The 25,633-nt window shown below is 49.3% G+C and overlaps 2 protein-coding genes across 37 annotated transcripts in view, besides 6 other annotated features; one reads left to right on the top strand and one right to left on the bottom strand.

Moving 5' to 3' along the window:
- Positions 1–2,383, top strand: part of CAMK2B (calcium/calmodulin dependent protein kinase II beta) — a 108,860-nt gene extending 106,477 nt beyond the window's left edge. For 32 of the 33 annotated variants that reach the window (XM_011515559.3, NM_172084.3, XM_017012665.2 and 29 more), the window contains one exon: positions 15–2,383. The gene's annotated coding sequence lies outside the window, so the exon portion shown is untranslated. The remainder of the gene's footprint in view (positions 1–14) is intronic. The other variant, NM_001293170.2, reaches the window with a different exon arrangement.
- Positions 925–1,237: a silencer, noted in NCBI's record as "fragment chr7:44257899-44258211 (GRCh37/hg19 assembly coordinates)". NCBI's record gives its function as "represses an EF-1alpha promoter that drives an FKBP-Casp9 reporter gene in an ReSE screen in HepG2 liver carcinoma cells {active_cell/tissue: HepG2}" and the evidence as "EXISTENCE:reporter gene assay evidence [ECO:0000049][PMID:32094911]".
- Positions 925–1,523: a biological region, named in NCBI's record as "H3K27ac-H3K4me1 hESC enhancer GRCh37_chr7:44257613-44258158".
- Positions 978–1,523: an enhancer, noted in NCBI's record as "H3K27ac-H3K4me1 hESC enhancer chr7:44257613-44258158 (GRCh37/hg19 assembly coordinates)". NCBI's record gives its function as "activates a minimal SCP1, AML or CMV promoter by ChIP-STARR-seq in naive H9 embryonic stem cells {active_cell/tissue: H9 hESC(naive)}" and the evidence as "EXISTENCE:reporter gene assay evidence [ECO:0000049][PMID:30033119]".
- Positions 1,524–2,071: an enhancer, noted in NCBI's record as "H3K27ac-H3K4me1 hESC enhancer chr7:44257065-44257612 (GRCh37/hg19 assembly coordinates)". NCBI's record gives its function as "activates a minimal SCP1, AML or CMV promoter by ChIP-STARR-seq in naive H9 embryonic stem cells {active_cell/tissue: H9 hESC(naive)}" and the evidence as "EXISTENCE:reporter gene assay evidence [ECO:0000049][PMID:30033119]".
- Positions 4,481–5,396: an enhancer, noted in NCBI's record as "H3K27ac-H3K4me1 hESC enhancer chr7:44253740-44254655 (GRCh37/hg19 assembly coordinates)". NCBI's record gives its function as "activates a minimal SCP1, AML or CMV promoter by ChIP-STARR-seq in naive H9 embryonic stem cells {active_cell/tissue: H9 hESC(naive)}" and the evidence as "EXISTENCE:reporter gene assay evidence [ECO:0000049][PMID:30033119]".
- On the bottom strand, positions 5,243–18,559 carry YKT6 (YKT6 vesicular SNARE protein). 4 transcript variants are annotated; one of them, NM_001410874.1, is made up of 8 exons: positions 18,298–18,559; positions 14,887–14,969; positions 13,052–13,152; positions 12,045–12,149; positions 11,339–11,404; positions 8,413–8,514; positions 7,933–7,983; positions 5,243–7,290 (listed from the first exon to the last, which is right to left on the bottom strand). In NM_001410874.1, the coding sequence occupies exons 1-7, from the start codon at positions 18,399–18,401 to the stop codon at positions 7,969–7,971; spliced, it is 576 nt and encodes a 191-aa protein (NP_001397803.1). In that variant the 5' UTR covers positions 18,402–18,559; the 3' UTR covers positions 5,243–7,290; positions 7,933–7,968. The 4 variants fall into 4 exon arrangements, with proteins under 4 accessions (NP_001397803.1, NP_006546.1, NP_001350607.1 ...); NM_006555.4 differs by lacking the exon at positions 7,933–7,983; XM_054328423.1 differs by lacking the exon at positions 5,243–7,290 and having other exon boundaries at positions 7,929–7,983.
- Positions 18,383–18,452: a silencer, noted in NCBI's record as "silent region_18143". NCBI's record gives its function as "represses an Ori minimal core promoter by ATAC-STARR-seq in GM12878 lymphoblastoid cells {active_cell/tissue: GM12878}" and the evidence as "EXISTENCE:reporter gene assay evidence [ECO:0000049][PMID:35858748]".

The following is a 25,633-nucleotide window of genomic DNA, read 5'->3' as shown; positions in this document are numbered from 1 at the left end:
CCGCCCCATTTCAGAGCTGCGCCCTGGTTTCGCCGGACAGAGTTGGTGTTTGGAGCCCGACTGCCCTCGGGCACACGGCCTGCCTGTCGCATGTTTGTGTCTGCCTCGTTCCCTCCCCTGGTGCCTGTGTCTGCAGAAAAACAAGACCAGATGTGATTTGTTAAAAAAAAACAAAAAAAAAAAAAAAAAAAACAAGATGACGACGACAACCACAAAAAAAATTGACATCAGATGAAATGAAAAAAAAAAAAAACAAAAAAAACTAAAGGAAGGAAAAAGCTGTAAAAATCACTGGCATTCGTGGGGCCACTCCCCACCCAAGCTCCACGTGTGTCCGTCTGTGCTCCTGGCCTCTGGGGGACCAGCTGGGACATGAACTTGTCTGCCAGGCCCCCGTCGCGTGCTGAACGGTGTTAGTTTGTAGGTAACGCACACACCCCACACCTAAGGTGTCTGCATCCTCCTGCCAACGCATGGGCTCCACGTGGTGTGCTCGCTGGCTGTCGTGACTGTCAGCTGTCTCTTGGGAGGGGCTGTGGGGGCCCGCTGGGCTGCCTCCTTTCCCGCTAGTTGTGCCTGAGAGTTGCTGTTGTTCCTGCTTTCCCTTCCCTTCCTTTCATCCCCTGAAGGGCTAGGTGTGGGTTTTCCGTGCCCGGTATCCCCACACACCCAGCACGGACAACCCTTCGGCAGAGCCCAGGCCGGCCCCTCACCCCCTGGAGTATTGAAACTGGAGTCCCGTCCCCAAGGCCTTCAGAGATGCCCCTACACACCCAGGGCTCCAGCTCTGGTCCTTCTGGGGGAGTAAAGTGCAAAGAGGGGCACAGCTTAGTTTTGGGCCTCTCGCCGAGCAAGAGACAGCACTGCTGGCTACAGCTCCAACACAGCCAGCTGTGGCAAGAGGACTCTGCCTGGGCTGGCCCCCCTCCTGTGTGAGGTGTCTGTCCCTTCTCTGCTGGCCAGCAGCAGATGCACTGGCAGCTCCCAACCCTGTTTCCGCCCCTCGGCCCTCCCCCAGCCTGTTCGGCTTCTCTGCAGCCCGCAAGGGGGAGCAGACTTTTGACAAAGGACTGCGGGCCTCGCTCAAGTCCCTGAGCCCCCAGCTGAAGCTGGGAGGGGAGGCCAGGCTTTGTGTCTGGGCATATTCGTCTGCTGATGGGGTTTGGGGAAGCCTGGGGCTTGGGGTTTGGTCGGGTGGTGCAGCTAGTGGCAGAGCGGGATCAGAGGTGGTGGCTGCCCAGCTTCTGGGCTGAGACAAGGGTCTGTGCAGGGGTTTACTGAAGTGGGAGTGCCTTTGGAATCTGGGCCGGGAGCAGAAGGGAGCAAAAGCTACAGTGGGAGCCAGCCTAGGGCACATGGGAGGCGTGAGGGCAGTGCTGCCCGTGCAGTGTCAGGTGTGCCAGTGCCTTGGCGGGCTGCAGTGCGTGTGAGGGCACCTTCTAGGTGGGCCAGGGATGCAGCTATGGAGATAAGGCGGGCTGGGGACAGAAACAGGTGGGCACAGGGCCCAGGACACCAGCGGATGGAGGGCAGGGTCTAGCCCTGTGCTCCTGAGCGTCGGCTGCCTGGGTTCGAGGCGGTGGGTCCCCGGCCCCTTGTGATGGTGTGTACCATGGGGGAGCTCGGGGACAGGGCAAGCCCGAGCATGGTGGGGCTGCAGGGTGGGTCTGAAGCCAGGTTGGGTGGGGGTGGTCACAAGCCCTGACTGCAGAGGGTCAGGGGCTCCTGCCCCAGTGCCTGCCCACTTTCAATTCACATTGTTTTCAACAAGGATTTTCTTTATCTTCCCCTACAAATCAAGCCAAGGGAGGGGCACAGAATGGGGAACAGGACACAGGATCCTAAACTCCAAGGGGACTGTCCACCGATGAACACTCAGAGTGGACACCATCTTCCGTCCACGCTGTGCCCAGGACAGCTGTCCCCATCCATGAACACAGGGTAAACATCTGCCGGGCTCCGCACCAGTGGCTCCCTGGGCCATGGGACAGCGGCAGGGCTCACCACGGACAGCACGTGGCCCAGCAGCCGGCCACCCTGGCGTCCTGGGGCCTCCTCCCCTCCTCTCCCTCTCACCTTGTCACCTCCACGGAGCTGCCTGTCTGGGATAATTTGGGGATTTTTTTTCTGGGGGATAATTCTTTTGCATGACCCCTAAAGAGCAAGCCACACCGGTCTGCTAGCTAGGTGTCCGCGGTGTGGTGGTGGCGGCCGCTGGCCAGCGCTGCAAGGGGTCGGCTGCCCACGGTGCTGGCTGGCCTCCCCTCCTCTCTCTTTTTGCTGAGTTTCATTGTCTTTTCTTTCTGAGCCTTGTAAGTGTACAAAAATTATTCTTATTTTGTTCTGTCTCGGGAAACTGCAAATAAAAGAAAAACAGGACAAACTGCTTCAAGTGCAGCTGGGTGCTTTAGCTGGAATCCTGCCGACCTCCTGCGCCAAAATACAGACTCAAGCCCGGTCCCTGGCCAAGACCCTACTTGGGCCCCTCCTCCAATGAAAGGTAGTGCTATGGGAGCCCTGAGCTGGCCCTGACAGTCCTGAGCCCCTCTAGGGTGAACGGCTCACCCCAGGTAGGGCACTAGTCATAGATCATAGCTCTACCAGCTGTCTCCACCTCTTCCTCTGGTCCTCTGAAGTCTTCTGGGCCCAGCGCTGTCCACCCTGAATGCTGGAACTGAAACTGGATCCCAGCCCCCAACACCCCTGACCTCTCCATTCACCCCCGGTGGCCGCTAAGGATGTGGCCAGGGCAGCCTCTGGGCAGGAAGGAGCCCCAGGACCAAGACCTCTGGCTGTCCTGCTGTTTCCTTCCGCCCCTGCTACATGTATTGGCTATTCTGGATGCTGAGGACACACAGTGACCACAGAGCCGGGCTCCACCCCAGTGGATTATGCAGACAGATGGCACGCAGGCCTGTGTGGACATCAGCCTCGGGCACCAGACATAGGCAAGGCGCAAGGTGATACAGTAGGCAGCCACCATGGGGGCCAGGAGGCTCCAGCAGAGGCCACACAACCAGCCCAGAATCCAGGACAGAGAGCTGGAATGGAGACAGGGAAGCCAGATACCAGGCCAGACTGGCCAGGTGCTACAGGCCTGTGGGCCAGGCCAGGCTTGGGGACTTCGTCCTGGGTGTGAAGGAGACAGGCACCCCTGAGGCCTTCCCTCTGCATCTCCAGCCCAAGCTAAGCGCAAACTCTTAGGTTGGAGTAAGGAGTAACCCCCTGCCAAGTTTCTCCTGTCCTCAGGCTCCACCCACCACCTATGCTGCCTGGCCCCATGGGGCACACGCTCAGGCCCAGCCTGGGAAAGCAACTGCACCTGCCTGTGCTATGCTGGCCCTTCTCAGCCTCAATGCCCTCCTCCCTCCCCGACGCACCCTCGTGGCCCCCGCTGGGCCCCCTGATGCACCCTCATGTCTCCATGGCAACCTGCTCAGAGTGTGGCCCTGCCCTTGGCTCCCCTCCACACCTGTGTCCCAGGCAGTGCCACGGCACTTTCCTAAACAGAAGGATGGGCTTCAAAACAGTCCCAGACACTAAACACACCTGCATTTTGGGTCCAAGTAACTTCTGACAAGACGAGTGCCCCTACACACTCTCAGTCCTATCCACTATGGGCAAGGAGCCTGAAGGATCCCCCAGAACTGGCTAAAGCCCTCAGTCTCCTCCTCCACCCTGAGCACCTTCACGCGGCAGAGTGGCCCTGGATGTCAGCTTCTTGCTCCCCATGGTCTGCACCTGGACAGGTGCTCTCAGGTGTGTGGGTGGGCAGGTGGCAGGTCCCAAGAGCCAGGTGCAAAGAATCTAGGCCAGTGCCCACGAGTGCTGCAGTGTCTGTCCCCAGCATGGTATCTAGGGCTCCACTTGCCTATCAGCTGTAATCGGAGGAGGCTTTCCAGGCCAGGCCTCCCCCAGGAAGGCTGCAGGCACTGCGGATCGTGCGCCCTCACATGCATTATTCCTGAGGCCCTTCTGCAGATGCCATCAGGGCAGCAACTCTGATGAGGTATTAGGGCACAGCACACAGGGCTAAGCCACCCTGTACTGGGCCAAGCGCTACAGGCAAAAAGGACACCACCGACGGGCATTTCATTCATCGCTTTTATTTTTATATATTTTTGAGAGGGAGCCTCACTCTGTCGCCCAGGCTGGAGTGCAGTGGCGCGATCTTGGCTCACTGCAACTTCTCCCTCCTGGGTTCAAGTGATTCTCCTGCCTCAGCCTCCCGAGTAGCTGAGATTACAGGTGCCCGCCACCATGCCCAGCTAACTTTTGTATTTTAGTAGACATGGGGTTTCACCATGTTGGTCAGGCTGGTCTCGAACTCCCGACCTCAAATGATCTGCCTACCTCAGCCTCCCAAAGTGCTGGGATTACAGGCATGAGCCACTGCACCCGGCCCATTCATCACTTTTAAATAGCACCCTCTGAACAAAGCTCCCTGGGCCACATGACCCTAAGGGTTACCCCATCCCACCCCAACCCAGGTCTGGCAGGTCCTCAGAACAGGAAAAGCTGAGCACTGCCCAAGGCTGCTTGCTGGGCCAGTCAGAGAGGTCTCTGCCTTCCAGGATCAGAAGTACAGGCTGAAAGCAGCCTTGGGCCCGCCTCCCTGGGAGGCTACAGAGGCTTCAGAGGGTTCCCTGAACTCAAAACCAGATGTGAGACTTGAATTTGACTTACCCCTGGTTCACCTCCCAACCAAAGCAGGGGTCAGCTTTGGCTCCTCCAGGAACCAGGAAGCTTCCAGGTACCCTGTGGAGCCCCCTCTGCTCCTGAAAAGTTGCCACCTGTGCTTGGTGGGATGCCAGGTGGTCTCAGATTGACCCTGGGGTCAGCGGTGAGGGACAGGAAGCCTACAGCGGGATCAGGATGGGGATGGGGCCTCCTGTCCCATGGCTCTGCAGCTATGAGGCAGCTTTCCTAGGGTGGGTCTCCTGGCTGCAGCTAAGACCAGGCAACAGGATTCAGCAATGACAGGGCTTCTTCTACTCCAGGGCTCCCTCACCTGGTTAACAGCAAAAAAGAAAATACAGTTCCTGCTAGCAAGGTCTATAGAAAGGAGGTGAAGGAGTCAGGCCTGCAGCTACCTCTCCTGGACAGGAGCTGGTCAGGATAACTTGGACCCTTGCATGCGGCAGGCCCACAGGCACACAGCATGAGGCCACTCTCTCCCCCGGGGGAAGGGCTTGGTGAAGAAAGGATTCCCCTGAAGCACAAAGAAAGCACAGGACCACTGTGAAATTTCAAGACAACTTTATCCAGACAGGCGCCTCTCAAATAGAACACAGGGAAGTTAGGCAGCAGTTACTAAAATACAGTCTCGCCAAATGATTTACAACAGAACACAACAGGAGCAGGGGATCTGTGGGTGGGGCTGGGCTGGGCCCTCTATCTCACAGGGCCTGAGTCAAGCCAGCCCGCCCTGCAAGGCAGGGGCTGACCTGCAAGCGGAGATCTCACTTCCTCTTACCCCAAATTCATACCTCCATTTTCCCCGCCCCCATCTCTCCCCAGGGTCCTCAAGTGGGAAAGGGAGAGGTAGCATCCCTCGGATCCAGGCCCACTCCACTCCGTCTCCGGCACCAGTGGGCAGGCTGAGTCTGGGCCTCAAGGGGCCCTGGGCTTAGGGTATCTATGGCAGTAGGAAAATGACATGGACAGGCTCTTCAGGGGTAGGCTAAAGTCCTCTGGCCAGCAGTACCCAGAGAAAATGGGCAGCAGCAGGTAAACCAGCCAGGAGGTGGAGTCCTCTGAACCCACAGCAGACCCCACCCTCCTGCCCAGCCCCTGCCCACATTGGGGGTCAGGACCACTGAGACTCTGGTCAGGACAGTGGGTGCTCTCAGCAGTGTGGCAAGCTCAGAGCAGAGCTCCCAAGGACCATACCACACTGGTTCAAAACCCATAGGTGACACCATCCCAGCAGAAGCTTCCATGGGTGCTGGATCCCAGGGCTGCATCCTGAGCACAGGTGGGCAGACTGGAACATAACACTAGGACCCAAGGGATCCAGAACATTTTAGGCCCATCTCCTGGGCTGCTCCAGCCTGTTGCCATGACTTGGGCAGTGAGTGGGCCTCCTGCCAGGTGGCAGGGCACAGCTTAGACCAAACCCTTGGCCTCCCCCCTCTGCAGCTACCTCTGACCAAGAAGGAACTAGCAAGCCTATGCTGGCAAGACCATAGGTGGGGTGCTGGGAATCCTCGGGGCCGGCTGGCACCCACTCCTGGTGCTCAAGGGAGAGACCCACTTGTTCAGATGCATAGGCCTCAGGCGGTTCAAGGCAGTCTTAGAGCCACAGAGTCAAATAAAAATCAATTTTGAGAGACCACAGCACCTGCTGCTTTGATCGTGATGTTCAAGGCAAGTTGCAAGTCAAGGCAAGTGTCCCAGAGGCCCTGGGCAGCTGAGTGCACCTGTGTTTGATCTTCCCCTGATGATGGACACTCCCAGCTGACCATCCAAACACCAGGAAAACATCCCCCTTTCCTGGGCTCAGTTCCTAGTCTACTTGCTGGTACGAACCCAACCCACACACTCCCCGCCCACAATGCAGCTCCTTCCAAATCCTCCCACAAGCCACCTTTGTGGGACTTGGAAGCTGCTTAGGATGGGCCCTGCCCTCTGCGGGAAGCCAATCCTAGCAGAAAGGTAAGCTAAACAACAGTCTCAGAATCTGAGACCCAGTGACTGTTCCCCCCGCCCCAGGCCTTGGGCCTGAAGTGGGGGCCTGCCTGTGGCCTCTGTGGTGGGCTCACTCCCACCCCCAACAGTGGCCCCAGGAGAGGCTTTCCCAAGAGTCTTCAAACTCCACCCACCCCAGCCCTAGCATCAGGGACTCCCCACCCCCCACTGGAGTGTTAATATCATTAATGTACAAATAAGATCCAAAGATATACCAAAGATCGAGAAACAGCTGGCTCCGACCTCCCTCCCACAGAGCCTTCCCAGGGTTAGCTGAAAAAGAGCCCTTTGGCATCTACAGAAGCCAGTCGGAGTTTATGGTTTCATTTGCCCAAAAATACACCTTTGGGGACCTCAAATTCTTTCCAAGAATCACTACCACACATATGAATTTGAACATTCGCCACCCTTCCACCATCCATTTCTCGCAGGAACTTCAAAATAAAAATGGCCAGTCTGCCCCCACTCTGGCTCCTCGTCTATGGCTGTCTCTTCTTTTCCAGGGGCTGCAGTTCTGATGTGAATGATGGTGCCATTCCAGCATTGGGCCTCTGGCAGGCTGCATCACATGATGGCACAGCATGAGTTTTGTTTCCGGGCCTTGGAAAAAAACAAAGAGGAGCTGAGAAGGAGGACTGACGAAGTAAGGGAAGCCCCAATCCTGGCAGGCGTGGCAGAGGGAGCTCCACAGGACACAGCCAGGCAGAGAAACTAGCACTAGAACAGGGTGGGGGTGGAGGCCTTGAGGGAAGCTGTCCACAAGCAATTCCCATCACCAAGCACAAGGCGGGCCCCGGCTTCCAAAACTAGTCTGGGATCCTTTTTCCTTTCTTTTCTCACACCCCATTAATGCTATCAAAAAGTGAGTAAAATTCCTACAGTTAGGCCAGGTACAAACAAAGGACCAATAATACAAATGGGATTGGCAGAATATCTTAACTTTGCCCCACTCCTGTCTTCACACAATGCTATCTGACCACCACGGTGGTGTTTCTTCCTAGAAGATGGTCCTGAGGACAACAGATGTGGTTCCCACTTGGGATGTGGTTTGTGGGGACCACTGTTGCCACCTTCTCTCTTGCTTTCTGGTCACAGACTATCTTCCTAATCCCACCTAGCCATCTCCCTCCAATGTGCACATGAAAGCAAATGTGTGTGGACAGACCAAGTAAATTTGTCCCTATGACTATCCAACCATGGGCCAACAGTGCCATCTCCACATAGGAAGACATGAGCACTGACCTGAGAGAAAGCGGCAGTCAGCAGCACCCATCCTTGTCAATTAAATATTTTCTGTCAAAGGGAAATTAAAAGCTTAAGAACCTCTTCAGGAAGGCTGAATTGCTTGCATCTTAAAGACTTATGTCTACTCAGCAGAAAGAGGAATAAGATTCAACAGTAAATCTCTGGTGATCAGAACTTGAACCAGCCTTCCTGGACTGGGAGTAGGAGTTCAGAAATCAGCCAGAGCAGCAGAGGGCAGAGCAGAGGCAGGAGTGGAACAAGGCCTCGGCCCGCATCGACTCCAACGGCGCCCAAGTGAACTGCCTCCAACCACCTGGGCCTGAGGCGCTCACCTTAGGCTCTTGCCGCACAAGGAATCATCCACCATGATTCAACAGTCTAAGAAAGACCCGTTCATAGTGGAGAGTGCCAGAAGCAGCAAGCTGCGACTGCTCTCTAGAGAGAACACCCAGGAGGCAGCAGGTGCTGGGTACTCACAGTTTTATAGAAGGCTTTAGACTGTGTTCCCAGCACCTCGGATTTGGACACCAAGTCATCTAGCTTCTCACCTCGCTCTAACAGAGACTCCATGGTGTTGTGCTGGACAAAAAAGAAAAGAGAATCCAGCTCTGTTCAGTACGTGCCCTGACATGAGCCCCTCATATTTCAGTCATGGGGGAAAGTGCCTTACCTGGGTTCCTCTCCAACACACACAAACTTCACCTCTAGGTGTCGAGACTCGGTCCAAGAATAGTTACTGTCCAAGTGGATGGAACAGAACCTGGTGACATTCCCGTGAAATCTAGAAGATCTAACTGGGATGTAGCAGACTTCCCAAAAAGCTGTCCCCAGCACAGGCTTAGATAACCAGCACTCCAGGAAAACTCATATATATATATACACACACATTTATATATACATTTGTGTGTGTGTGTGTGTGTGCACGCACATGTGCGTGTGCATGGAGCTTTGGAAAAAAGAGTAGCTGGGCACTATATGATTGTACTGGGTTGGAGAGTGACCCACACCGCACCCCCCAACCCCAACCGCATCCCAGAAATTAACATCCCCAGAATCTCTGAATGTGACCATATTTAGAAATAGGGTCTTGGCAGATGTAACTAGTTAGGAAGAGGTAATACTGGATTAGGGTGGCATCTAATTCCATGACTGATGTCCTGGTAAGAAACGGAAACACACACACAGAAGGTCACGTGACGGCAGAGGCAGAGCCTGAAGTGATGCACCTCTAATCCAAGGAATGCCAAGGATGGCCAGCAGCCACCAGAGGCTGGAGAGAGGCCTGGGACAGACACTCAGAGCCCCAAAAGACACCAGCCAGGCCCACAGAGCTATCTGTTAAAAGCAAATATTTGAGGGTTTCTGTTGACAGCAGCCACAGGAAACAAAAGGCGGTGGGAAATGGCTATTGAGCACTTGATGTGAGGCAAGTCCAAACTGAGCAGCGCTCTGAGTACAGACACACCAGATTTCAGATGCAAACTCACACATGCTTCATTAGTAAGTTTTATACTGAAAAAAAAACAAGTTTTATACCGATTACATGTTGGAAAAATTGTATTTGGATATACTGCGTTAAGTAAAATATATAATTAAATTAAATTCTACCTATTTTCCTTTTATCATTTTAAAATATGGCTCCTAGAAAATTCTAAGTTACACACATGCCCCAAATATATACCAGACAGCACTATGACAGAACATGTCCTGCCTTCTAAATGGGCTATGTCCTAAATGTCATCACTACAAACTCTGACTTAGGAAATGAAAACACTGACCCCATGGGAAGGGGTCTAGAGATGGAGACCTCACAAGAGCCAGCAGCTCTGCTGCCAGGGCCCTCAGGAAGCAGCAGCTCGCTTCTCTCCTCAGATGGCCACTGCTGCAGCAGCTAGATGCACACATGAAGCGCCATAGAACAAGGAGCCAGCAAGAATGTCCTTCATCCCTACACACAGCTGAGCGACTCAAATTTTTAACACAGAAAGTTAACTGATTCAGATATGCACACCAATCATCTAGATTTTACAACTGCAGCTAGATGAGGCTGGGTGAATAGGACTCATCCACTCCCCACCGTGGGGAGAGGAGAAACAGCGGGTGTCCCAGGTGTCATGGTACTCAGACTAGGACTTGAGCAACAGAAAGAGATGGCTTGAGGAGAAAACGGAGAAATGCCACCTAGGTGGTAAGAAAGCTCACAAGGTTTCAAAAGACACAGATACCATGAGACTTTCACATCTATCGTTCATTCCAAAGCCACGTTATTTGGAGTGCAGTCAGCACACCTGTGTTTGAAGCCCCTGGGATGCTTTTTATAAAATGCAGGTTCCCAGGCTCCATCGCAGGCCAACAACTCCAACCCCAGGAGACGCTGATGTACACACTAAAGCTATGCCTGTGTAAATGGTAAAGCTTTGTATGTGGGTTTCAATCCACTCCAGGTATCTATCAACTGCTGAGCATGGTATAAACTAGGCACTGTATCATGAGCAGGATGGAAAGATGTCCCAGTGCTCATACGCTGGTCAGGGAGACATGTAAACAAGCAGTGACAAAACTGTGACATCTGGTCAGAAAGGCCCAACCTTCAGGCGCCTGTGTGTGAGCTGGGCAAGAAAGGGTATAAGAGAGAACAGGGCCCAGTCAGGAGACTGTGAGTTAGTTTGCACTTTATCCTGGGGCGGATCTGAGAGCTGCTGAAGGGTTCTAAGTTGTGCAGATCAATGACTACTCTCTGGTGGACAGACTGGAGGTGAGCAGGAGGCAAGGGGACCACTTAGAGGCAAAGGCTGTAAGAGAAAAACCTGAGAAAAACAGATAGCTGCTTACATTCCACTTGTATGCAAAAATTTAAAAAAAAAGAGTTGAAGCAACAGTTACAAATCAGGAGATTTCAGCTCAAAATGCAGGGTTCTGGCTCTTTTCAAAGGGGCCTATGTGACAACCCTGGGCCCATATTCCAGAAGCTGCCCTGTGGTCAGTGCACGGTGCTTCAATCTGTTCACCTTCAATGCAAACGCTGCAAGGGGAGGCACCTGTGGGGTGTGGAGGCACCCGAAACCCTAACAAAGGCACCAGGGTGGGAATCCAGGTCTTCAGAAGCCAAACCCTAGGAACCCAGTAAATGGTCAGACAGGCAGTAGCCATGAGGAAGGGAGACTTGAGGGTTCCACTGGTTCCCAGCTTGGTCCCCTAGAAACAATGGGTGCCATTAACCAAGAGAAGGGTATAGGAAAGACAGTCTGATGCCCGGGGTGGGGGAAGGGGTGGGCAATCCCACTTGCTGGAGAGTGCCGTGGTTACTATTATATTAAAACGAGGATGGATCTGTGCATGCCTGGCCAGTGGAAATCGCACCCCCGCCTCAGTTCTTGGGCTTGCTCTCCATCTTCCTGCTTACCAGAATGATTTTGGTCTCATCTAGTTCGGCCTGCACTTTAGTCATGGGATCAGCTTCTCGTGGGTTCTAGGAAAGAGTGAAAAATAATAAAGTCAGGACTGGAGTGGCTACCTGCAAACAAAACCTAAAACTGAGGAAGCTGGACAAACTTTCACAGGTTAAAAACCACAGCCTGGGCCGGGCACAGTGGCTCACGCCTGTAATCCCAGCATTTTGGGAGGATGAGGCGGGTGGATCACCAGAGATCAAGAGTTCGAGACCAGCCTGACCAACATGGTGAAACCGTCTCTACTAAAAATACAAAAATTAGCCAGGCGTGGTGGCACATGCCTGTAATCCCAGCTACTCGGGAGGCTGAGGCAGGAGAATCGCTTGAACCCAGGAGGTGCAGGTTGAGTGAGCCGAGATTGCGCCACTGCACTCCAGCCTGGGAAACAGAGTGAGACTCCAACTCAAAAAACAAAAAACAAAAAAAAAAACCCACAGCCTGTTTAACATGTAACAGAAACCCAAAGCCTGCCTAGAGCTTGGGTTCCCCGGTCTGAACGTAGATTCTCTGTTTTCCAAACAGTAAGGCTTGAGAGAGGACACCAGCATCAGAAGCTGTCAGAAGTAATTAGACCAGAACTATCAGGGCAGTTGGCTTTTTCAGTTTCACATGGATTCTGGGCCACATGGTGTCTGCTGAAGCTTCCTTTAACCCTACCTGGTATCTACTGAGGTGACCATCCAGGGCTGGGTAATGGATTGTAGCAGGGGATCCTACTGGCCAGTCTATCCTGTCGACTTGCTTGGAGAATTCATCTAGTACCTGCAAGACAAAGGAGACTCAACAAGCCTCCCACTGTGCACTCACCAGTGGTCTCAATGACAGGGCTTCACCCCTGAGCACCTCACCCTGAATGAGGCTCCTTGGCCTTCACAGCCCAGGAAGGAGGAATGAGGGGGACATATAATGGCAACAGAGAAAATCTAGGCTAAAGTTCTTTCCAAATTTTTATCATTAAAACATATCCTAAATATTCTGAGAATCAAAAGTATGCCCAGCCCGAGATGAACCTCACTTGGGGAGTAATAAAGGTATTTGAATTTTAAACTACAGATTTCCAGAAAAAAGGGGCACTGGTCCTCTAATTTTCCAAAGCAATTTTTTAAAAAAGAGAATTAGGTCCCCTAGATTTAAGAAACCACCAGATTCCATGTGTTTGGAGGTATTTTGGTGCTCTGGGGTATAGGATGAAGCCTCTGACTTCAAAGAGTTAATATTAGTAATTAGCACCGTACGCAAAAAAATTTAAAGAATGCTTAGGTGCTAAGCTCTGTGGTGCAACTGACTGACATCAAGGTAGAGGGATGCAGCAACTGCAGGAGGCAATGGGGAGAGTGAAGGCATTCAAGAGGGAGACTCCTTGAGCAGAAGCACAGGGGGCGAGAACACAAGGCACAGCTGTCTCCGAGGGTCCCATCCCAGAGAATAGATGCTATGACTCAGTGGCCTAGACCCAGCTCACATGAGGGACAGCACCGGGGAGGAAACCCATACAGGGATGCCAAATTGTCTCTTGGGTTGCAGGGAAGGGGGCTGAAAAATGTGTTGACTTTGGACACATCATTTCATCCCTTATGTCTCAGGGACTGCCATCAACCCCTGTCCCAGTCCATAAATGTGCCCATTCATCATCCAAGTCCAGGAGAGGCAAATAAAAAACTCACCTTCTCCAGCAAGGTAAAGGCCACCCGGGATGGGTATTCATTGTCAGCAATGACCACACCTGCAAGACTATCATTCCGGACGTAGACGTGGCACAGATAGTCTAAGGAGACAAGAGATCAGACACATGGATGCTGACATGAGGGCTTCAGACTTCTTTTAATCCCCCCAAATCAAAGCATCCAATGTTAGGCCAAATGAAGCCACTCGGAAGCTCAATAGCTCTGGGCAAGTCTTGTGGAGAGGCTTAGCAGCACAGCCCAATGGGCCACACACAGGAGCTTGGCCCAACGCCTGCTTTAGGACCAGTAAATACCCAGAGGCCCAGTATGCAAAGCCAGGGCTTAAAGAAACAGCCAGTGGTGCAGAAAACACACCCTTGACAACATGGCCCCAGGAGCATTTCCAAGTGTATTCCTTAAGCTCGGGTCAGGCCAAGCTATATCTTAGGGATCTGGAGCCCTTGGGGCTCTGTGCTGCTCCCAAACTTAGGGAACCCTGGACAAGCCAAGAGGCCTCTGCTTTCTTAAAAAATCTTTTCAGAGCAGCCAAAAGACAGGAAATTACCCCCCAGGGCCTCAGTCTTCCATATTATAGCAACCTGCTGGGTTTGCTCCACTCTGGTGGGTGACTGGGAGTAGGGGGGTTAGTCTAGAAAAAGATTAGCTACTGCCAGCTAAGGCCTCCAGAGCACTGTGCTAAAATCCTCATATGATTGAAAGGTACAGTTGTACAGGTCTTCCGCAAAATATTCACAATCCACAGGATTGTTCATTTCCATCACTTTGAAAGGATTCAGAGTTGATACAGCTAACCATATCCCCAAGGAAAGAGAAATGTAAGGATTACAGCTTACAAATAAGAACCTTCTTGTCCTTAAGGATCTGACCCAGAAGATTCCAATGCTAAACAACAGAAAAACAAATAAAAGAGGAGGGAATGATGGTGAGCCCCTGAAATCAGAAAAGAGCAGAGATAAATGAGAACAAGAATGAGGAGGAGGAAGAGGACAGGGGGTTGTCACCAATGCTCTCCAGATTTTGTATACCATCCCCAATTAAGATTCAAACATGGGGTCAAAGTGCATACCCTCCAAAGAAACTGAGAACCTGGTCAGTGGAGGAATTGTCTTTAAGTAATAAACGTGGGAAGGGCAGGCACAGTTTGAAGAACAGAGCAAGAACACTGAAATATTTGTGATGCGATTTCACTTCTATGATGTTAATAGCACAGAGATCCCACATAAAGTGTATATAGTCAATCCTGCCTGTATCATAACTGACATTTATATCATCAATTCAGTAACTCTATGTCACGTGACTTGAGGTTAGCATAAGTGTGAGATGATCTTTGTCCCTACCTGATGAAACTCATGTAACTCTTTCCTGATCTGTCTGTATAACATACACATCTAAATAAATGCCTAAACCTGAATTATCAGAAAGAAAAAATAGTTTTTTCAGATTCCTGATCAAAAAATCTACGATGCACAGAATACATATAGTACCTCAACAGTGCTAGCTGGAAATCCTTTTTTGAGGGGTCTGCAACTCTGAAGAGGATAGGGAAGAATACGATATGAAGGCTGCTTACTGCTCCAAAAGAGTCAGACCCTAATCTTAAATGAGTCTAAGTTTGAGGGCAATTTTATCTGGGAAGCTCAGACTTCAACAGTGGGCACAGAATTCTGCATAAATAGGAAAAGGAAGAGGTGGGAAAGAGAGAACAAGCTAGAGGAGGAGTAGGGTCCCAGTAGAAAGGAGAAAGCTGGGTGCTATGTGAGGTGAGGCATGGCAGCCAGGCCAGCACACGCACAGAAGTTGGAGGGTCTTCTTACCTTGTTCTTTGACAGAAGCTCTAGTGCCTTTCGATGAGCGCTCCACAATCAGTTGACTCGTGAAGGTCATGAATTCCTGAACGCTAAGAAACACAAAATGTATTTATTGCCTACTTCTTATCACCTTGTCCCCAACACAGTGGAAAGTGACCTCTGGGCTTATACATTAAGTAGACATTGCTTCTTGGTTTCATTCCTTTCCCTCCCATCCCTAGTAACAAACACTCTATAAATGAGCACAAATACTGATAATTATGAATTATCATCACCATGAAAGCTCCATCTGTTTGCTACCTGGCTCACCAAAACAGGTGAATTTTCTGGGGGGTTTTTCCACAGGATACAGTCAATTTTACATTTTGGTGAATGCATAATTTGGAATGCAATGGAAAAACAAGAGGCAGGTCCTGCTCTCAAGGTCCCAATAACTTCCAAGAAGCAGGACATTTATAAGAACTGCACTAGAAGAATAGTGTGCAAAAACTGTCAGGCAGAAATGCACAACCATTTATGGCTGTGTCCACATGACAGACCCTCGCAATGCCACATACACCCATAGTGAGTGCTGGCTCAGGTCTGCTGGGGCTCGTCCACAGAACGAGCGCAAGACACTCTGGATGGAACAAAAGGAAAACTGCTCATCCAAGACAAAGAAGTGGGAAATGGCTCATACAAAGGGTGAAAGGGAGAAGGTCCATCATGGGCTCAACAGAGAGATCTATCCAGAACAGAACAGTCACAGGAGATGGTACAGCCAGAGGAAGAGGTGCTGACAAGGAGCCTCCAACTGAGGATGTGATATAAAGGGCAACCAGGGCCATCAAAGCAGGGTGCTCAAATGGGAGTCTGCAGCAGGCTCCAGCAGAGCCATATAGGTAACTGAAGGCCTGACTCTGGGCCTGTGTGCTGTGCCTCCACATTAAAAAAATCAAGATTTGTGCAACAGTTAAACGAGGTAATACGTGTAAAGCACTTGGAACAATGCCTGCACACACAGTATTACTTGTTAATATCTTGAGGGACTGAAGTGATCAAAATAACCCCTCAGAAAAGAAGACCTCAAACAAGGAAGGCTTTGCAGTAAACCTAGAGACAGCATTTGAGACACGGCTATAAAGAGACAAAGGAAGAACTGCATTGTGACAGCATGTATACAAAGACCAAAAAAGCTGGGAAACTACTTTTTCAACTTTGGAATCGGGTAATTATAGGGCACAAAGGACGTAAGTAAAGCGGTCTTATAAGAAAACAAGCTCAGGCCGGACGTGGTGGCTCAAGCCTGTAATCCTAGCACTTTGGGAGGCCAAGGCAGGCGGATCACTTGAGCTCAGGAGTTCGAGACCAGCCTGGCTAACATGGTAAAACCCCATCTCTACTAAAAATACAAAAATTAGCCGGGTGTGGTGGTGCGCGCCTGTAATCCCAGCTACTTGGGAGGCTGAGGCAGGAGAATCACTTGAACCCAGGAGGCGGAGGTTGCAGTGAGCTGACACTGTGCCACTGCACTCCAGCCTGGGTGACAGAGCAAGACTCCATCTAAAATAAAATAAATAAATAAATAAATCAGCTGGGACATGTGTTGTTTTAAGACATATTAGTAGAGATGTCCCTTTAGTGTTGCAGCTGTTAGTCATTGGAAACTAGTGTGGGCATCCCAAGCAGGTGAGGTATAAGTCCTACAAGTGAAATCTCTGAGAATCTTAAGTACTAATGGGAAGGAAAAAGGAAAAAGAATCAGAGCCAAGTTGGCACCAAAAGTTCCATCTGAGAAAAGCAACAACACAGAGCAGTGAATGTAGGCCATGGTAAAGACTGCAAAGACCAAGAACCCCAAGAAGGAGCTAAAAGATAATGCAGCAATTCCGCTTCTGGGTAAATACCAAAAAAATGCGAGCAGGGTCTTGAAGAGATATTTGTACATCCATGTTCATAGCAGTATCATTCACAATGGCTGAAATGTGGAAGCAACCCAGGTGTCCACTGACAGATGAACAGATAAGCAAAATGTGGTGAATAATACAATGGATTATTCAGCCTTAAAAAGGAAAGAAATTCTGATATATGCAACAAGATGCATGAGCCTTGAGGACATTATGCTACATGAAATAAGCCAGACACACAAAAACTATATGATTCCATTTATCTAAGGTCGCCAGAAAAGTCAAAATCACAGAGACAAATTAGAATGGCAGTTGCCATGGGCTGGGGGAGAAGGGAATGTGTTTAATAGACACGAATTTGATAAAAAGGAGTTCTGGAGACGATTGACAGTGATGGCTGCACAACACTATCAATCTATTTCATATCAATGCACTCACTACACGCTTAAAGATAGTGAAGATAAATTTTGTGTACCATTTTACCACAATTAAAAATATTTTTTTAAAAGAACTCAAAGAAGCAGAAAGTTTCAACAAAATAACATTTTTTTTTTTTTACATCCAGCAAGTCCTTGGCAAAGAACTCTCATCAAGAACCAGCTGCACTGAAGCAGGGAAAACAGAATCCAAACGGCAGATTCCATCAGATTTTGAGACAAGATGACCATAGATACCGACCATGTAGGGTCCTCCTTCTTTCGTGCCTGAGTCACCCCAATCCCTCCCACGAATGGTCTGGAAGTGTCTGTGTTACTTCTAACACGTTCCAGCAATTAAAGCGCCCCAGAAACAAGTAAAAGCCTGTAAGCCCTACAGATCCCATGCTTCATTTGCATCTTCCGTGTGGAATCCTTTTGTACCACTAGTGTCCAACTAAAAAGCGTTAAACCTGGCTTTCAGTTCTAGCTGGTTGTGATATAACCTCTTGGTACCTCAGTGACTTCACCCATTAAAAACAAACAAAAAAAAGTATATCACTATCTCTCATACAGAATTGTTGGGAAGCCCCGCAAGAAAATCAAAATATGGCTCTCAAGATGCGGCACCCAAGCTCCCAGAGTCAGAATCACTGGGTGGGAAGTGTTGGTCTAAAATATAAATACCGAGGCCTCAATCTACTAATTCAGAACATCTTGGCATGAAGCTTGGAAATCTGCACTACTTCACAGTCTCCTTAAAATTTTTACACGACAGAAATTTGAAAAACACTGAGTAGAGAACTATATTCTAGAATGGTATAAGCTCTTAAAGAGCTAATGTTGGTTCCTCAAAGGTAGAGTCCACGGCCAGATTCCATTATAGGAGACCAAGCCCGGACAGCAGACCCCGGGCCCTCCCCACCCCGCCCCGCCTCTGACTCGGACACCAGCCTTCTCAGACCCCGGGCACTCGGCCACCCCGCCCTGCCCCTACCCTTGGCCTCCTCCACCCTCCCCTCATCCCTCCGCCGACCCCAGGCCCACTCCGACTCGGACCCCCACCCCAGTCCTCTCCGCCCGACCGCCACGGCCCACCAGCCTGTGCCGCTCACCTGGATCTCTGGAAAAAGCTGAAGGAAGACACATCGTATGCGGCTTTGAGCAGCACCACCTTGGCCTCGCCTTTGTAGAGGACGCTGAGGCTGTACAGCTTCATGGCTCCGCGCCCTCAGGCCGCCCGCCTGCCCAGCTGCGGGACCCGTTCTCAGGGAGCAGCGCGGCCGCCGCCCCTCGGGACCGCCGCCGCCTACCGGCCTCTCAGCAGCCGGCTGCTGACGGGGCCACCGCCGGCTTCCTCCTCCTGGCTCGCAATCCACTTCCGGATCCGGTCAGCCTGGTTGAGGGTTCTCATACTCCGGATGCAGAAATGTGAGCCCGGAAGTACAATGCAGCGAGGGGCGGGATGCCACGCCTCGCGTAAGCTTGGCCCCTCCCTGCTCGCCAGGTGGAGTCGGGCGCGCGGCGGGATACCGTACTGTCTTGTGCTGGGTGGTGCTGGGCCTCCCACAGCGGCCTGAACCCTTCTTTTTTTTTTTTTTCTTTTCTTTCTTTTTTTAAAGTAAGCATTTTTTTTATTATTATACTTTAAGTTTTAGGGTACATGTGCACAACGTGCAGGTTTGTTACATATGTATACATGTGCCATGTTGGTGTGCTGCACCCATTAACTCGTCATTTAGCATTAAGTATATCTCCTAATGCTATCCCTCCCCCCTCCCCCCACCCCACAACAGTCCCCGGTGTGTGATGTTCGCCTTCCTGTGTCCATGTGTTCTTATTGTTCAATTCCCACCTATGAGTGAGAACATGCGGTGTTTGGTTTTTTGTCCTTGCAATAGTTTGCTGAGAATGATGGTTTCCAGCTTCATCCATGTCCCTACAAAGGACATGAACTCATCATTTTTTATGGCTGCATAGTATTCCATGGTGTATATGTGCCACATTTTAGGAGGAGCTTGTACCATTCCTTCTGAAACTATTCCAATCAAAAGAAAAAGAGAGAATCCTCCCTAACTCATTTTATGAGGCCAGCATCATCCTGATACCAAAGGGTGGCAGAGAGAGACACAACAAAAAAAGAATTTTAGACCAATATCCTTGATGAACATTGAAGCAAAAATCCTCAGTAAAATACTGGCAAACCGAATCCAGCAACACATCAAAAAGCTTATCCACCATGATCAAGTGGGCTTCATCCCTGGGATGCAAGGCTGGTTCAACATACGAAAATCAGTAAACGTAATCCAGCATATAAACAGAACCAAAGACAAAAACCACATGATTATCTCAATAGATGCAGAAAAGGCCTTTGACAAAATTCAACAACCCTCATGCTAAAAACTCTCAATAAATTAGGTATTGATGGGACGTATCTCAAAATAATAAGAGCTATCTATGACAAACCCACAGCCAATATCATACTGAATGGACAAAAACTGGAAGCATTCCCTTTGAAAACTGGCACAAGACTGGGATGCCCTCTCTCACCACTCCTTTTCAACATAGTGTTGGAAGTTCTGGCCAGGGCAATCAGGTAGGAGAAGGAAATAAAGGGTATTCAATTAAGAAAAGAGGAAGTCAAATTGTCCCTGTTTGCAGATGACATGATTGTATATCTAGAAAACCCCATCGTCTCAGCCCAAAATCTCCTTAAGCTGATAAGCAACTTCAGCAAAGTCTCAGGATACAAAATCAATGTGCAAAAATCACAAGCAGTCTTATACACCAATAACAGACAGAGAGCCAAATCATGAGTGAACTCCCATTCACAATTGCTTCAAAGAGAATAAAATACCTAGGAATCCAACTTACAAGGGATGTGAAGGACCTCTTCAAGGAGAACTACAAACGACTGCTCAATGAAATAAAAGAGGATACAAACAAATGGAAGAACATTCCATGCTCATGGGTAGGAAGAATCAGTATCGTGAAAATGGCCATACTGCCCAAGGTAATTTATAGATTCAATGCCATCCCTATCAAGCTACCAATGACTTTCTTCACAGAATTGGAAAAAACTAAAGTTCATATGGAACCAAAAAAGAGCCCGCATTGCCAAGTCAATCCTAAGCCAAAAGAACAAAGCTGGAGGCATCACACTACCTGACTTCTAACTATACTACAAGGCTACAGTAACCAAAACAGCATGCTACTGGTACCAAAACAGAGATATAGAGCAATGGAACAGAACAGAGCCCTCAGAAATAATGCCGCATATCTACAAGCATCTGATCTTTGACAAACCTGACAAAAACAAGCAATGGGGAAAGGATTCCCTATTTAATAAATGGTGCTGGGAAAACTGGCTAGCCATATGTAGAAAGCTGAAACTGGATCCCTTCCTTACACCTTATACAAAAATTAATTCAAGATGGATTAAAGACTTACATGTTAGACCTAAAACCATAAAAACCCTAGAAGAAAACCTAGGCAATACCATTCAGGACATAGGCATGGGCAAGGACTTCATGTCTAAAACACCAAAAGCAATGGCAACAAAAGCCAAAATTGACAAATGGGATCTAATTAAACTAAAGAGCTTCTGCACAGCAAAAGAAACTACCATCAGAGTGAACAGGCAACCTACAGAATGGGAGAAAATTTTTGCAACCTACTCATCTGACAAAGGGCTAATATCCAGAATCTACAATGAACTCAAACAAATTTACAAGAAAAAAACAAACAACCCCATCAACAAATGGGCGAAGGATATGAACAGACACTTCTCAAAAGAAGACATTTATGTAGCCAAAAAACACATGAAAAAATGCTCATCATCACTGGCCATCAGAGAAATGCAAATCAAAACCACAATGAGATACCATCTCACACCAGTTAGAATGGTGATCATTAAAAAGTCAGGAAACAACAGGTGCTGGAGAGGATGTGGAGAAATAGGAACACTTTTACACTGTTCGTGGGACTGTAAACTAGTTCAACCATTGTGGAAGTCAGTGTGGCGATTCCTCAGGGATCTAGAACTGGAAATACCATTTGACCCAGCCATCCCATTACTAGGTATATACCCAAAGGATTATAAATCATGCTGCTATAAGGACACATGCACACGTATGTTTATTGTGGCACTGTTCACAATAGCAAAGACTTGGAACCAACCCAAATGAACCCTTCTTTTTGCTTGCGTTGTTGAAAGAAGGCAAGTCTATGGATAGGAATGAGTGAGGCACAGCTCCCTGAGGATGCCATATCTTGCCCGTTTCTTGTGTATTAAGTGACATCACGTGTTACCAAACTAAACCGGCTGCATTTGCCTGCGCACAACATAAAACCAAACACCCAAGCATTGGATTTTTGTAGCAAGAAAGATGTATTGCCAAGCAGCCTTGCAAGGGGACAGAAGACGGGCTCAAATCTGTCTCCCAATACTTGCTTCGCAGCAGTAGATTTAAGGGAGAGATTTTGGAAGTGGAGTTTCGGGCTGGACGGTGATTGGCTGAAACGAAGAAGTGTTTAGAAAATCTCTTGGTCATGAGCTGTTGCTTCTTCATGCTGCTTCAAGGGTCACATGCAGATTCAGGAGGTGGTATAAAACAAGCTGTGGGAATTTGGGCTGTGACATCAAAGGGCCGCTCCTCGGGCTAGTAAGTCTATTTTGCACAGGCTCCAGTCAGCCATATTGGTTCCAACCTGTTCCAGCAAGTTGTATAAGCAGAGGGGATTATAGCAAACTGTTTCCTTATCGGCTGCCCTGCAAGACAAGCTCAAGATTTCTGTTAGTTACCAGTTTCTTTAACCCTGTCGGGCACAGTTTCACATGTAATCAGAAAGGAACTTGCAAGACACATACAACTGAAAGAAACTTGGTCTTTGGAAGTTGTCAGTAAGGTCACAAAGTTGTGATGCTAGAAGCAGCCGTATCTGAGATTATGGGAAAGAGATGATATATTGGAAAAACAACAGCATCACTTTAAACATTACTCTAAATCAAGGTTTCTCAACCTTGGCACTATTGACATTTTGGGTTAGATAGTTCTTTCTTGTTGGGAGACTGCCCTGTACATTGTGTAGGCAGCATCTCAGGCCTTTGTAGAAATGTCAGTACCAACCCACCCCCTCCCCACTGCACAATCAAAAACGTCAAAATGTCCTTTGGGAGCAGTAGTTTTGAGAAACATTGCTTTGCAGATATATATGTTTGTTTGTTTGTTTTGCTTTGTGACAGGGTCTTACTCTGTTGCCCAGGCAGAAGTGCAATGGTGTGATCCCACTCACTGCAACCTCTGCCTCCCAGGTTCAAGCGATTCTCATGCCTCAGCCTCCCGAGTAGCTGGGATTACAGGAATGCATCCATACACGCGGCTAATTTTTGTATTTTTAATAGAGATGGGATTTCACCATGTTGGCCAGGCTGGTCTGAAACTCCTGGCCTCATGTGATCCACCCACCTCGACCTCCCAAATTGCTGGGATTACAAGCTTAAGCCACTGCGCCCAGCTGAGAAACATTGCTTTAAATAATCTGTGGTGAAAGGAAGTTCCCACCACCTGCCCACTCACTCAGTACCTCTGTCACCAACCCTCTTCCCTGGGTGTTTCCAAGTACAGAGGGTGGAAAGGGCTTTTCCACATTTCCCCTGTTTTGGTAGTAAACATTAGGAACAGCCATTGGCCGTGGCTAGGCTCAGCCACCCACAGATATGGACACAGTAGTCTGACAAGCTGGGTTGCTGGGTGCTATCAGTCCAGGCTCAACTGCTTGCACTGACACCATTTCCCTATAGGAGGCAGGTGAGAGCCATTTCTGAGGAAAGTCTCTGGAGCCCCTCTTCCTTCCACTGAAAGTTGTGCAAAAAGATCAGGAAGACAGCGCTTGGATGGAATAAATTTCAGTGTATCCACTTGACACATTATAGTGGCTGTCCCAAAGTTTACCTTATGCCAAGTACTTTCCATGTGCCACATCATTTAATCCTCACAAAAACAGGGGAAAATATTATTGCCACCCTACAGACATAGAGACTGAGATTCAATTTAAGGAGATGGTTGGTAAGGGACAGAGTTGGGGTTCAGATGTCAACAGTGAAATGCTTAACAAACTGTCATGCAGCCCACTCCTGGCAACTCTTCCTGCTCCTCTCTGGCCTCACTCAGCCTCTACTGTTCCAGGAAGCCTCATTCATAGTCATGTGGTTGCAGACTTCCCAAGCTCACTGTGTTACCAAAAAGCAAGACCTGCCTTCTGCTGCATCGCCCCAGCTGTCACCCAACTTGGATTCAGTCCCAGCACTGACACATCACAAAATCACAAAAGTGAGCAAACCATTACCTCCCTGAGTCTCCTTTTGTTTTTATCTATAAAACTAGAAAAATATTCTTTCCATAGGAATGTTGTTGGAAATAATAAAACATTATATTACAAGCTCTAGTCATTGTTGATGTTTAACAGGTAACAGTGATAATTATTTGTCTTCTCATTAATGAAGAAAAGGATTATTAATCATAGAGGGTGGAAGGCATCTATGGGAAGTAGAGATTTGAAGATAGGCTAAAACCCAAGTAAGGCCTCTAGATTAGATAATAGTATTGTATCTATTTTAATTTCCTGCTTTCCATCACTGTGCCATGGTTATATAAGAGAAGTCTTTGTTTATAGGAAATATACACAAGAATTTAGAAGTAAAGGGACATTGTGTCTGCAACTTACTCTTACAGGGTGTGTGTGTGTGTGTGTGTGTGTGTGTGTGAGAGAGAGAGAGAGACAGAGAGAGAGAGAGACAGAGAGAAAGAGAATGATAAAGCAAATACAGGAATCAGGATGAAGCGTATCTGTTTGTTTGTTTTGCTTTGTGACAGGGTCTTGCTCTGTTGCCCAGGCAGGAGTGCAATGGTGTGATCCCGCTCACTGCAACCTCTGCCTCCCAGGTTCAAGCGATTCTCATGCTTGTATTGTTCTTGCACCTGTTCTGCAAGTACAACATTGTGGGAATGGAAAATGCAGGAAATGGGCAGTAAGGCTATGAACGAAGCCCGCACAGGAGTGTGGGTAGCAGAGTTCTCTAGTCCAGGCTCCCACCTGAGGTGCTGGGACCTAGAAGAAAAGCCTCTCTGCAGACAGAACTGGAGTTAACGCTGTCCACGATAAATGGCCCAGGCCCTGTTAAGTTTGCCCCATTGAGCAAAACAAGTACCCACCCGCCTTTGCAGCCTTGCCTAGCTCACATAAGGTGCCAGCCCTTGCTGTACAGCAGAACCTTTGGGGAGCTGGACAAAAGCCTATCAAGGAGCATACCCCCAGGAAGCCCAGTCCAGGTGGGGAGCCCAGCCACACAATGGCCCTTGCCCCCACACCTCCTCATTCAGTCAGCTAAGGCCATGGCAGCTGAGCTGCCTCCACAGCTCATATAGGAAAAGGGTGTGGAAAGGGGCCACCAATGTGGTCAGGCCTCCATGGCCTGAGTAGGTCACCAAGCCTCAGGTGCACAGACTTGATGTCATCAATCAGGGTCTGTCAGCACACCTAGCCCTCAGGAACACTGCTCCCCACTGCAACCCCACACCAAGGCATCCTGGGCTCCCTCTGGGTTCTCCAGGCCCCAGGGAAGACAGACAGAGTCTGCCACCAAAGGTTTGAGCTCTGCCACTGGCTACGAAGCAATAGGGGATGTCAGAGCAAGGGAGGAACAGGACAGGAGTATACGTGGGCAGGAAGGGATTACAGCCAAGGAAGACAGGAGGCAGGTGCCCTGATTTTGAGGCTGTGCCCCAGCAGGGGCTTCCCAGAAGCTGTATTTGTCCTAAGACACCCCTCTGCAGCTGAGGGGCTAGAGATGGATATGTAGCTGTGTTAGGCCATTCTTGCATTGCTATAAAGAAATACCTGAGACCAGGTAATTTATAAAGAAAAGAGGTTTCATTGGTTCACAGTTCTGCTGGCTTTGCAAGAGGCATGGTGCTGGCATCTGCTCAGCCTTTGAGGAGGCCTCAGGAAACTTACAGTCATGGCGGAAGGCAAAGGGGAAGCAGGCACATCACACAGTGGAAGCAGGAGTGAGAGAGAGAGAGGCACTGGGAGGTGCCACACTTTTAAACAACCAGATCTCGTGTGAACTCAGAGCAAGAGCTGACTCATCACCAAGGGGATGGCCCAAGCCATTCATGAGGGATCCACCCCCATGACTCAGACACCTCCCACCAGGCCCCACCTCCAATATTGGGGATTACAATTCAGATGAGATTTGGTGGGGACACATATCCAAACCATATCAGTTATCAGTAGCCATACTGGATGAATGCCAGGAACTTAGAATTAGGACACATGGTCATTTAGGCAAGTGGCTTGTCCTGTCAATGGTACCCTGATAGTCGTGGGGTTGCCCCGTACAAAAAGCGAGAGGAAGTCTACAGAGCTGTCAAAGAGGGGCAGGTGGAA

This window comes from Homo sapiens, chromosome 7, assembly GCF_000001405.40.
Source record: "Homo sapiens chromosome 7, GRCh38.p14 Primary Assembly".
Taxonomy (NCBI): Eukaryota; Metazoa; Chordata; class Mammalia; order Primates; family Hominidae; genus Homo; species Homo sapiens.
Note: the sequence above shows the minus strand (reverse complement) of the source record. Positions and strands in the feature narration are given on the sequence as shown.